The sequence below is a fragment of the Homo sapiens genome, chromosome 6 (genome assembly GCF_000001405.40).
Source record: "Homo sapiens chromosome 6, GRCh38.p14 Primary Assembly".
In the NCBI taxonomy this organism is placed as follows: Eukaryota; Metazoa; Chordata; class Mammalia; order Primates; family Hominidae; genus Homo; species Homo sapiens.
Window position 1 is genome coordinate 113,341,791 of NC_000006.12, and position 13,712 is coordinate 113,355,502.

The window sequence follows — 13,712 nt, forward strand, 5'->3', positions numbered from 1 at the left end:
CATGAGGGACATTAACTGTTGGTTGTATTTTTCCCATAGAGGCATTTATAGCAAGGGCTGTAACTGACTGTGACAGGCTTAGCTTGGTTAGGTTTCTCTTCAGTTTAAAATCAACACCATGCATCTTCACTGTGTTCTTTCTTCTTTATCTCCCCAACATCAGAAAATTTCTTTCTTTCATTTGCCTTGAATGACCTCCAGACACAGGCCACTGGTTTTTACTAAGGGATAGGACAGAACCCATTAGATATGCTTATTTGTTTTTCTGGCAAAAATGGCACCCATGATGCTTTGCTGCTTCTCAGAGAGCTAACTAACCGCTGCACATATGCCATAGGACTCATCTTGAAAGGGCAGGTTGTCCTTGTTGAAAGAAAGTTGTCCTTTCCCTTTGGAGAACATCTGGGAGTAATATTCCCATGTATCAACTCTGTTAGCTCCTGTCTCACCCACACCAAGACACCTGGCTGCCAGATACACACACTGGCTTGTCAGAATCCATCAATTCATCGGTAGCACAGAGAGTCTTTGGATTCGGGTGGCCCAATGGTGTAATGCTTACCGGAGAAAATATCACATTTTATCTTTTCTCACTGAACAATAATTATCAGAGAAAGTTGATCAGCCACCCGTTGTTATTTTTGTGTCTGGTAAACACTCATCTGACCCCCTTATCCACTTTGTTGAGCATCTATTGCAAAAGTGAACTCAGATCAAATTTCTGAAGTACTTATCAGACTTTCATGAGCATCCAGATGTGTTTTTCTCAAGGTAAGTATAGTCAGCCTTTATTCATCTCTGAGCATGAATATTCTTGCTGTTTTTGATAAGATTCATTATATAACTTAAGAAGGATTGTCTGTATGCTTAGATAGGGTGCTGAAGATTTTTAATGATGCTCAGGTACTTCAGCTGTTTCCAAAGAATTCACTATGATTTAAATTCAAACCAGACTGAACTCATCAACACATTTCTTTGATGAATGATTATTTATGTGAGCTGACAAAGCAGTGTGATTTTTCTATCAGTCATCAAATCTGCCCCTTCACAGTTGGCAATAAATCTTTATTCTTTTCAGTAAGAATGCTCTTAATATGCTTGCAACCTGCTGTTTGTTGTGATTTTTGAGGTGGATAATGTTAATCCATTTTTTAAAAAATCTGATTCCAACATTATCTAGCTCTTCATCGGGTTCAAAACTAGAAAAGGCACCTTTCTGCAAATTTACTTGTAAGATAAATGCTCACCAAGGACTTAATAATTTTGGATTGCTTTATCTTAACAGTTACTCAAGGCTCAAACACACTATAAAGGAAATTAAAGAAGATAAGAAAATAGAGTATCTTTGCCAATGATGGAAACAAGATGTAATAGATCACCTCTCAATGAACATGACTGTACAGGATTCCTGTCAAATAATAGGCAAATGTGTCAAATATTTGCTCTCTAGTGACAAGACATTGCTGTTTTCTGATAAAGTAGAAACTTAGGGATTATATCTTTTTATCTATTTGTACCTTATTGATCCATCATTATATACTTCTTAATGAACAGCTTTGTAGTTTGCCGCATTTTAGGACTAGTGAAAAGTATAAAGATTTCAAGATTGCAAATTTGTCATCTAAACTGGATAAATCTAAAGAAAGGTTTCTCAACCTTGGCACTGTTGACATTTTGGGTCGCATAATTCTTTGTTGTGTGAAATTATCCTGTTCATTGGAGTATGTTTAGCAGCATTCCTGCTCTCTACCCACTAAATGCAGGTAGTACCTTGTCTCCCCTGGTTGTGACAAATAAAAATGTTTCCAGAAATTTCCAAATGTCCCTTAGGACATTTTCTTTCCCCTGGGCAGAAAAATCATTCTAGAACATCTGATTCAGAGTAAGATCTCCATTATACATCAAATGGAGAAAAAAAAAATTGAAGCATGAAACATTCGCAAGTAGGCATTCCTCCAGAAGCAGACGCTGAGACAGGGATGGGAGTGCAAATAGTTTATTTGGGAGATGATTTCAGGAAGTGTCAATAAGGGAATGGAGATGATACGGTGATGGGAAGAAAGCCAATAAAAAAATGTGTTGTCAAGTTGGGTACCTCAAGGGTAATTAGGGCTCATTATTGCTTAGAATACAGTGCTAAACACTTCTTGAAATTATTCAAACTATGGGGAAGGGAACAAGAGTATTTTTATCCTAGGTCTGTCTCCAAGAGTCATTAACTCTTCCACCTTTCTAGCCTTCCCTGCAATGGGCTGCAGAGATTCTGGCAACTACAGAAAGCCTCAGGCACAGAATCTCAGAGCTTACATTTGGAAATTGTAGGGATTGCTTGCCCGGAAATGGTGAGAGCCTAAGGGAAAGTCACCTGCATCTATCTTGATTACTCTTAACTCTCTGACTTCTCTGCACTCTCATCTGTCTCTGACCTCATGCATTCCCATGGAGGCAATATCCCCTCAAGGGAGCAAAACTTACCTTTTTTACACTGTTGCTTTCATCTAAGAAAGTCCTTACTTTTTCTTTCCTCTTCCACTCCTCTCTCAAAATTTTATAATCTATCAAGGTCTGGCTCAAATGCCACTTACTTCCTCAAGGTTCCCTGTGCTCTTACTCTAACAGGGCACCTCCTGGCCCCACCTTTGAACTTCTAACCAACCTCTACTGCTTACCCTCATTCTACCGGGAATTAAAGTTACTTTTGGGCCCCTTCACATTCACTAGTTAAGTTCCTGGAGAAAAAAGATTGAGTCTTAGACAATGCCATACTTCCCAGGTGGTCTAACATAGTGCTTTGAACATAGTAAGTGCTCAAAGTTATGAATTGGAAGAAAAAATATTTTTATCCTTCAACTCTTTTTTTCTTTAGAAGAAAATTTACTTTTTGTCACAGCTCAATTCCTGGGTCAATGTGGCGCATAGTGGGAGCACTTCGTGAACTCTGGCTTCCTCAGAAGTGGTGAAGATCACAAACTATCAGTCTGGGGAAACTCCACAATCCCTCTATAGGCATTGCTCCAAAAAGATTCCTCGTACTTTTTTAATCAATGCTAATTATTCATTATATTATTATGGGTATGCAAAATAATATACAGATGGCCCTGTCTGAAGAATTACAAAGGATTGCCTAGGCCTTTTTGGTTATCCAGGTGTTTTCTATTTTTTTCCACTGCTAGGGTGGCTTGTGTTAAATCTGGAAAGACAGATGCCTTACCAAATGCAGATCAAATCCTGAATGCATTGATGATGACAGTATGGTAATGATTTCTTAACTTCCTTTGCTTAGTGATACTTTCCTGAATAGTTTCAGTAAAGGAGCTAGCATACCAGGGGAGTTTTTCTGCAGCAGATAAACACCGAGTATATTCTACATTCTGAATCAGTGTTAGTGTTGTTGGTCAGTGATTCAGGGGGAAGAAATAATTCTCCCTTCTGCTATCTAAAAAATCTAAAGTTTGGAGGAATAGAGATAGCATTTTTTTAAGCCTGGTCAAAATTGCACAACTTGTAAGTGGCAGAGTTGGAATGCGAATCCATGCCCATCTGATTTTAGAAATGGACAATTGTTGGCCATGCTGCCCACACATAACCCTCTCCTACCAGCGTCTTCACCATTCTACCACTCCTTTTTTCCAACAGGCAGCCCTTGTTGGTCACAGGTAAAAGTATGCATTTTGCCACCAGGGAAAACACAAAGGGCATGGATGGGTCCTAAGCTTCTAAGGACAGTCATCAGCCCTGAAAAATCCTCTAAATTACTATATTGACTACTCCTAACCATGAGAAAAGAAATAAATGTAATATTTTTCATTGATATTATTGTTTCATTAATCGAAGCTGTCAAATTATAGAATGATTTTTCCAGGAGAGTGAGTCCAGCGTTATCTGCAGTTACTGGACCAGTGTTCGTGGGTCCTCAGTGGTCCGAATGGATTAAGAAAAGAGCATCAAGATGGAGACCTTTTGCCATCATGTTTTGTCATTCATGTTTAATTGTATTCATTTTATTTTCAAATGGCTGATTACACCTATAATTATTTCCAAAGTTATTTGCATCCTCAATATAATTTAGTTAACTTGTAATTTATATTTACATCCATAAAACTAGTTCCAAAATTATCTTTATTGAAATATATAATTAACATGACACAAACTTGTTAATCCACTTCACCCATTGTACATGTTTGTATCTTGATTGTAGTCTTTCAGGAAAAGAAAATTTTTTAACTTTGTAGGAGATGGCGTATGTAAATCCCCAAAAAACTGCCTTTGTTCTTCACTGCTGGAACATGATTCCCTCCCCAGTTTCCTGTGATAGGAAAACAAAATGGGATCAAACATGTGGTGTTTTGTTTTTGTTAATAGTATTAGGTCATCAGCTCTTCCCTGTTTCACAGATTGATACTTGGAAAAGGATGTAATGAATTATCTATTCCTAATGCTTTCTTCAAGAAGCTTCTAGAAACAGAGACTTAAGACTCTTAGAAAAATGGAAGCAGCAAGAGGAAGTTAACGTTTATATGCATGGGCCATAAAAAATGTATCCTTCTTTATTTCAAATTGGCAACAAAACAAGGAGAATAAGAATTTATATATATATGTAGGTCACATACTATTTTATTTAATTTACACAGAACATAGCATATCACATGCATCTCTGCTTAATATTTTAAACCTCTAATTATTTAGAATTGAAACCAGAATGTAAATGTCCAAAGGATTAGTTTTCTCCCAGCTCTCACCAATGATTATCTGGAACAACTGCAAAATCTGTGTAGATCTCAGCCTAAGATCTATTTATACTACACACACACACACACACACACCTCTACATATATTATATATTATATACATTATGCATGTTACATGTAATATATATGATTTATACCTAATATTAGTGACAACTCAGTTAAAATATTTAGTTAACCATACTACTCCATTTACTAAGCATTCTAGAAAATAGAGTTTGGCTTCTAATAATGTTCTTCAAATTTAAATTATATTTTACTATAAGATTTATGGTATCTCTCACTTGACCAGCAGAAAACTTGAATAAGTGGGTACTTCTGTTTTTACCCAACAGACCATTAAAAACTCCTATATATGAAAGAGAGGGGTTGGGAAAATGTCTGGTTTGTTTGCTTGTTTGTCTGAATCTTGGATTCTTTGCCTCACCTCTGTCCAGAGAGGATTTGAGAAGACTGAACAATTATAACAAAAAAGGTAAAAGGCTAAATAAAATTATAGTCCTAGAAATATATCTAAGAATAGATATTTAAGGCCACATTGGGATAAATTTCACAAATATGGGAGCTCTAAATGTCTATGTAGTTTAATGGTCAAATTTTAATTCCTTGCAGCATTCTCGTTGTATTTTGTTTTTGTTTTTTTTTTTTGGCAGCGGAAGCAAAAAGAGATGAAATGTTACATCACCTTTTTTATGATAAGGAAAATACTGATGTGTACTGTCCAACCCTCCAATCTTGAAAGAATTTTGCTTCCTGAGTTTTAAATTGGTAAAATCCATAACAGTGTGATCTGTCAGTTGTGACAGAAATAATACATATATATGTTATATATATATATATATATGCCATTGAAGCTGGCAGTTTTATCCAGCACTGTCCTGGGAAGAAAAAGAAAAATTTGTTTTTGAATGAAAAAGAAATGCATGTTTCTGGCTGGAATAATGTACTAGGTCCTAGGTTCTATAAGAAATTTCTCTTTAAATTATTCATCCCTCTTGGCTCTGCTTCTTATGTTTCCTCAGCAAATCTAAATACGGCAGGAAAAGCAGACCCCAGATGGAGGACATTGGCATTCCAGCTTACGAGTCAGACTCTGAGGAGCTTGATAAGAGTGAGTCAGCCTCCCTGAGTCTGATCAACTTGGGAATGCTGACGACCCTGTGATAATTTTAGTAGAAAGACATATTGCCTGCCCCTGGAGACATCCAACCCCATCCTCACCATCCACAAGTATTCTTATCATTAGAGAAAAAGAAACAAATCACTTCAAGCAAGATTGTCTTTTGTAGTGCAAATTCTGTAAGAAATTTATCAGGTAAGATTTTGCATCGGATATTCTGGCCTAAGTAGTTGATGACACCTGGAAACACAGGCAGAGGGCTGGTGGTTTTAATAGTATCCTTTGATAAGAACTGAGGGCTGCCATTAGAGCCTGAAGAAAAATACTTCTAAATAAGGCCAAGATAATGTGTTCCAAGTGGTACCATGTTTTCAGTGATCTGGACTAATGCATAAATGAAACTTTGAGTGCCTAGGGAATTGCCTTCCAAAAATCCTCCAGATGGTCACTTCCCCAGGAAGAGAGCCTAGAGGCAACCCAGGATTACATTCTCTATGAAGAGTCTGGAATCTATAAGGAGAATTTAGTCTAGAGGAAGGGCCTGAGATCCTTTTCCTGAGTTTGTTGGTTGAGGGAGCATCCTACACTTTGGGATTTGGGAAAGCGGAAACTTACTCAATTTCATATCCTTGTTTGGAAATACAGAATCCTAACCAAGACCCTGGCCTCAAAGGAGAACTGCTCAGCTTCTACAGAGAGTGACTAAACAGATAAACTGATGGAAAAATAAAAATTTTTCTCAAACAGTTGTATTTATTCTCTTGTAGCAAATAAGCAAATGGCTGACTCAGCCTCTGAAGATCACCACTATGATGAGTTTTACCTGTGAGGCTTCTAAAGCAGAAGTTGCCATGAGCATCTGTTCACTGTGCCTATGGAGACACAGCCAGGAAACATATTAAAGGATATTAATTTAGATGATTAAATGTATTTAGTTGAATAAATATTATAATTTTATATTGAAATTACTTTTATATGATTGTGTTTTATGCACTGATTTCATCAAGCAATCTCACTACTTACTATGAACAAGCCGCATTTTATTATAATGGCAGTGGACATTATAAGTTAATATAAAATTCTTCCAATTCTCTTACAGCCTTTGATGATGCCCTTTGTTCAGCAGAAATGTGGTTGCTCCTGAGGGAGTTAACAACATGATAACTAATTTCTTAGAAAGGTGAAAGCAATTTACAATTATTTTATTATATAGTTCGGTATGTTTATTATAACTATGATAAAATGGTGACAAAAATAAAATGTCAAATCACCCATAATCACAACACCCAAAGATAATATTTTGGTATGCAACTTTATCCTCCAGTTTACAAAAAGTATATTTTGTAAAATATATCAAGAAAGAGAAAGAGATTTCCAGGAGTAACGAAGAGCAACGCAACCCCCAAAGCTGGCTGGCTGATACTGACCAGCTAAGTGAACTGGCACACGTTGTTCAACTTCTCTATGCCTTCATTGTCTCATCTCTAAAACACATGCATATTGTCTGGTAGAAATGGTGTCTATCCCCAGATCCCATTTCACCAGACCAAGTATTAAGTAACTGATAAAAGGAATAAAATGCTAGTATCTCTCTAATGCCTATTTTCTTCTTATTTATCCTACCTGTATTATTTCTTACTTCCTTCCATTCCTCCTTCTCTCCTGGATTTGTAAAATATAAATCAATTAACTAAACTTACTTTCTTGACAATAATCAGCCTTAAAACTTTGTGTAGCCCAAACCCTTTTTGAATTTAATTGTAAGTTTTAACTCTCTTTTCAGGAAAAAAAAAAAATAGCATATGGGATAATACAAGCAGGTACCTGAATAATATTTCAGGCCCTTCATGGCCCACACTCAACTCCCTAAAGAAGCTAGAACCCCTATTCCAGCTTTCCTCCTTTCCTCTGCTCTCTAGTTGGATTTTCTTATCTGACATTACTCTCAATAACACATTAGAACCTTTCCTTTTCAGGGGCCAAGGGAGAGCTTTCCCCTTGGTCCTCTCAAGTTTCTATGAAAAATCAACTTGCAAAAGGTAGATTAATTGGGGAAAAGGTTTACAAATTTATTTAATGTGCATACGCAGGAGCCTTCAGAATAGAAACCCAAAGATACAGAAGAAATTGTTCATTTTATGCTTAGGTTAAATGAAGTATGGATGATTGTGTAGAAATATGATTGGACAAGAAGGGTATGATCTCATGCTAATAGATCGAGTGAGGAAAGCCAGCAAGGCCTGTCTGTCTGTATTCTTCTTGGCCCCTTTGAGCATGTATTTCTTCCTTCTAGGTATGAGGCAGGACCATCTCTGGAATGGGGGTCTTATGACCTACAGTCAAACAAGGTATATCAGATAAATTATGGCCAGTTTTTACACAGAAAGATGTCAGGAGGGAGTTAAAGTAATATTTTTAGGTTTTTATGGTTGGCTTTGGGGAAAAGCGGTTCTGGCTTCTATGACTTGCCTCGCAGAAAAGAGATTCTAGTTTCTATGATAGTCCTCCAGGGAGAGTGGGACTATGAAACAGGAGGGCAGGAGAAGGTCAGAGAAAATCTTTTGCTTCTGAGGCTGCTTCTGAAGCCTTCATTTGGGTTATTGTTTTCTGAGTCCCAACACCCCTCAATCCACTGGTAGAATAGACTTTCCATTTGCTTCTGCAGCTTATAGTCAGCAGTTATAGGGCTAGTGGGCAGGGATGAGGGTGTGGTGTTTGATATGGGAGAGAAAGGGGAATATACATCACCCAGTTTCTTCTCACAACCTGCTGGACCTGCAGATGACCAGTTTAGTCACCTATGTACAGTCAGTGATAAATGTGACAAAAATACTTGTGACTCCCAAACATGTGGGGAAATAAAGGGAAAAAGATATAGTCTAAAAGACCAAGAGAACAGCCTCAAAAGTAGCAGAAGGTTCTGCATAATATAGGAAAGTCTTTGTGGGCTCTGGCTACCAGATGCTTGTTATTCAAAGATTTCATTACGGTGCAATTCATAGGCATCTAAAATACCAGGAAATATACTAATAGCATTTGCAGTCCATCCCAAACCAGGAAGATTTCAAAAGTGTTCCATGTGAGCTCAGCCTTTTGCTTTGTTCACAAAGCAACCTGATCACTTGCTTAAGAGAGAAAATAGACTGTTTTTTAACCTTGCCTTTAAATTGTGAAATTCCTGTGATAAAAATAAGAAATAGTATATGAAGCCTTGGGGTCAGATCACCCACTGGTTTTCAGGAGTTCTCAATAGAGTTACTAGGCTTTGAAGCAACAAGGTGAAGGGAGATTATGGTTTCATACTAGTATTTGAATTTCCTGAGATTTATTTGCTTGAGAAAGACCCTTATCATCGTTGAAATGTTTAAAGAATTGAAAGAGCTGTTTTCTTGTTTGCAAATCCACTTTTTGCAATAGAAACCTCTAGGATGGAATGGAACAGCCACTGAACTTAAAACTGCATTTTATATGTTTTTTTTCTTACCCGATAAAAATACCAATCCCAGGATTCAATTTGTATAATTCTTCTTTCATACTCCAGTAACATCCTTAAATATTGGAAAAATCTTTACTTTGTGGGGGAGGGGAAGAAAACGATAACAGATCCTCTACCACATGATAAACCATGATATTTTCCTCAGTTGTTAGTCACATTGTACTTTTGGCCATGCCCCAGAAACCACAACCCTCAATTACATTTGCTTTCAGACATGTGGAAGAAACACATGCTAAAGTAATTAGCAAAACTATGACATTTACATTTTTCCCCTGTCAGTCCCTGTGATTCTTCAGCATATGATTCTACGTGAACCAAAACAATCATACATCAAGCTGACCACATTTATCCTTATCTAGTGCTTTGAAAATGTCAAAAAGTAAAACAGAAGAAAACAGTTTTTTCATAGACTTAGCACACTCTACTCCCTGTTTGGCAACAAGAACCACATGTGACAATGGCAGGAAGGTAAAGCATCACGTCTTATCCCAAAGTCATTGCACTCTGCAGACAGCCAACTGAGTTTGATGACTAGTGGCTCTGAGCTGTCTCATTTGCCCTGCATTTGCTGTTCCTCCTTCTCTGTTGATAGATTCTAGTGCTCATTAAATGAAACGTGTAGTACAACCTGAAATTAATGACCTTTAAGTAGAAAATGAAAATAGAACATCAAATTTTCATAGTATCAGGAGATTTGTTGCAGCAATGGTAAGTGTATCTTCTAACTCCATCAGCCAATATGTAATAGAACATCTTAGAGAGCAGTAAGAGTGTTGTGCATTTGCTTATGCCCCTATTACCCAATTTACTTGTAGGACTTTAATAATTGTTCACCATTGACTTCATATCTTCATAATCCCACAAGCATTCATTAATCATCTACTGTGGGCCAAGCACATAGACACTGCATGTATAAAGATGAATAAGGCATGGCCCTTGCTCTCAGGAAGCTCACAAAATAGCGGGAATGACAGACATATATGTTAATGATATTGCATAGTGGGATAGAGTTATAACCAAGCTAACTAAAACACTCTATGAAGCACAGATAAAGAGACTTCATCTGTGAGTCACAACGGAAGCTGTGACCCTGACCACAGCCAAGAAATATGTCTTTAGTAATCATGCTACCTATCTTTTTGTTTGCCTTTCTAGATCTCCTCCCTACCTTTCTCCACCCTGTTCTTGCCCCATGAAGCTGACCTCTGAGGACTGGACAAACAGGCTCTTTTGCCCTCTTGGCAAGAGATAAGAGGATTAAAGGAAGAGACTAGGCTATTTGTTTCCCTTTACTTTCCTGCCTAGTTTCCATGGACTGGTGGCATCTTTCTACCAAAGGCTATAGCTCCTGTCAGAGCCCTTTCCACACAACTCCCCTCTCCAGATTCCCAGTCCCACTCTCCCCTTCCCCTTTTCAGCCTAGGAGAAATAACGATCCCTTGTTGGCTTCCTACACTCTGCCCACACCTAAATAAAAAAATAACCCTTTATTAAACTCTCTTCAGTTACCCAGTTTGAAAATTTTGTCTGCTTCTTGCCAGGACTCTGACTAATGCAGTAACCCTCTAGGAATTTAAGGGATTCAATAATTTCAGTGTTACTCATAGAGAATCCAGCTTGGGAGCACACAACTAGGGTCTCACCAGTCACTGAGCAAACCCATCACAAATGTCCTCAAAAGATACCCCTCCTAATAATTCCAGTTCTTACCCAGGAGAGCCACTTACTCTAGAACAGGCCCTACCTCATCAATCCTGCCATAGGCAAACTGAAATAACAACAGAGTTCAGGACATGCTACACAAAAATATGGCACCCTAGCATGTGAGGAAACAGCAGAAGTAGGATATAGAAAGAATTCCACTTGTACCTTTGCCCCCGAAGCAGGCCATAAAACCTCCCCTGAAAATAGGTCATAAACCTCTCATTCCAGAGGAGTCCTCTGTATTCCTGGAAAAAGGAATGTCACAGAGATATTAAGAAGCATTGGGACAAAGCGGCCTTCTTAAGTCCCCCCAGTTTATTACCATTAGATCATACTCTTTTGTTCTCTAATCATACCTCTCTGCGTGACTGTCCATAAAAATATAGTTTTCCCTGTTTCTTTGGGTCTTTATTTCTGAAGGCTACCATGTCACATAAAATTTGTATTAAATAAATATATATGCTTTTCTTTTGTTAATCTGTCTTTTGTTATAGGGGTCTCAGCCATAAACCTTGTGATGCATGAGGAAAAACTATTACCTTTTTTTTTTTTCTACACTAACACCCACCATTTTGCAGTGAGGTCAGGGGGTAGACAGAATTCTAAGAGACCTCCAAGCTTCCCAGCCCCTGACACACACACATTTTTCCCAGTAATTTAATCGAATGCTGATCTAGTTGCTGCTATGAAAGAATTTTGGAGATGTGACTAGGATCCCAAATAAGCTGTCCTTAAATTACAGCTATTATCTGGTGAGCCTGATCTAATCCCATGAGCATTTCAAAGCCAGAGAGTTTTCTCCAGCTGATCGAAGGAGTGCATGTCAGAGGTATATGCTCTGGCTGACTTGGAAGACAGCAGGCATCCATACTATGAACTGCCTATGGAGGCCATGTAGTAAGGAACTGAGGGTGGGCTCTGGGAGCTGAGAGAGGTCCTTGGCCAACAACCAGCAAGAAAATAGGGCCTCAGTCCTGCAACTACATGGAAATGGATATGTCCAACAATTACTGAACTTAGCAGAGGACTCCAGGACTCAAATGAGAACCACAGCCCGAGCTGACACCTTCATTCAGCCTGCTGAGACCCTGAGCAGAGAATTTGGCTATGTCATTCAAGATTCTGCCCAACAGAAACTACGAGATAATAAATTTGTGATATTTTATAGCTACTAAGCTTGCAATAAATTGTCAGGCAGCAATAGGGAACTAATACAGGCAACATGGTAGCTTTGCTCTGCTTTTGGCAAATGAATTAACTTAAACACAAGTTTCTTCAAAAAAATAAAACATATTCCTTTCAGTGCAAACACTTTGATATATTAATATATTATCCATTCATTTGCCTTATTATGTAGTACTTAGTGTACTGCCTGATATTGAAAACATCTAATAAATAGGTGCTGAATGAAATATACAGGAATCATTTGACATTTTCTTCATTACTCAGATTACTAAATTCTAAAAGCATCCATTATTTACTAGACTCTGTGAAAGATTGGATTACTCATTACCAATATCCACTGTCTTTCATTAGGAGAGGGTTATGCTTTCCTGTACCTTTGAAGTAAGGCTTGGCATGTAATTTACAGCAGCTAATAGTAAGCAGAAGCAATATGATCACCACCATGCAGAAGCCTTAAGAGTCCTTTTGTGCTTCGCCCTGCATTTTCCCTGCTCTCATCACTAGCGTGTTTCCAGGTAGGGGACGCTCTACCTGAGGTTTTGGGCCACAGTGATGCAGAGCAGAGCCCCAGTCAATCCACAACTGCCATGCAGTGTGACCAAGAAATAAACCTTTGCTGTTCCAAGGCATTGAGACATTGGGATATTTTGGCACTATGACATAATCTAGCCCATGTTAACTGATACAGATTCCAATAATACTGATGCCTTCAAGAGTTATTAAGAAGTATATGATCTCAGGCCTGGCGCGGTGGCTTACGCTTGTAATCCCAGCACTTTGGAAGGCTGAGGCAGGTGGATCAAGAGGTCAGGAGTTTGAGATCAGGCTGTCCAACATGGTGAAACCCCATCTCTACTAAAAATACAAAAATTAGCTGGGCATGGTGGCGGGCGCCTATAATCCTCGCTACTCGGGAGGCCGAGGCAGGAGAATCGCTTGAACCTGGGAGGTGGAGGTTGCAGTGAGCCGAGATCATGCCACTGCATTCCAGCCTAGGTGACAGAGCTAGACTGTGTCTCAAAAAAAAAAAAAAAAAGTATATGATGTCACTTATATGCAGAATCTAAAAAAGTCCAATACATAGAAGCAGAGAGTAGGACAGTGGTTACCATGGGCAAGGAGGTGAGAAAAAAGGAGAAATGCTGATCAAAGTGTACAAAGTTGCAGTTACATGGGATGAATATGTCCAGAAGTATGAGGATAATAATAATACTGTGTTTTATACTGAAAACCTGCTCAAAGATTAGATCTCAGATGTTCTTACCACATACACAAACAGGAAAGTCAACTCTGTGAGAAGATGGATATTCCAATTTGCTTTTCTGTAGTAATTACCATTATCATTATCATTATTATTATTATTTGAGATAGAGTCTTGCTCTGTCGCCAGGCTGGAGTGCAGTGGCACGACCTCGGCTCACTGCAAACTCTGCCTCCCGGGTTCAAGAGATTCTCCTGCCTC

General features: G+C 38.3%; 1 long non-coding RNA gene across 1 annotated transcript in view; it reads right to left on the bottom strand.

Moving 5' to 3' along the window:
• Positions 1-4,102: 4,102 nt before the first annotated feature.
• LOC107986637 (uncharacterized) overlaps positions 4,103-13,712 on the bottom strand; it is a 30,488-nt gene continuing 20,878 nt past the window's right edge. Inside the window, exon 4 of the long non-coding RNA XR_001744312.2 lies at positions 4,103-4,306. This is a non-coding gene — a long non-coding RNA (uncharacterized LOC107986637). The remainder of the gene's footprint in view (positions 4,307-13,712) is intronic.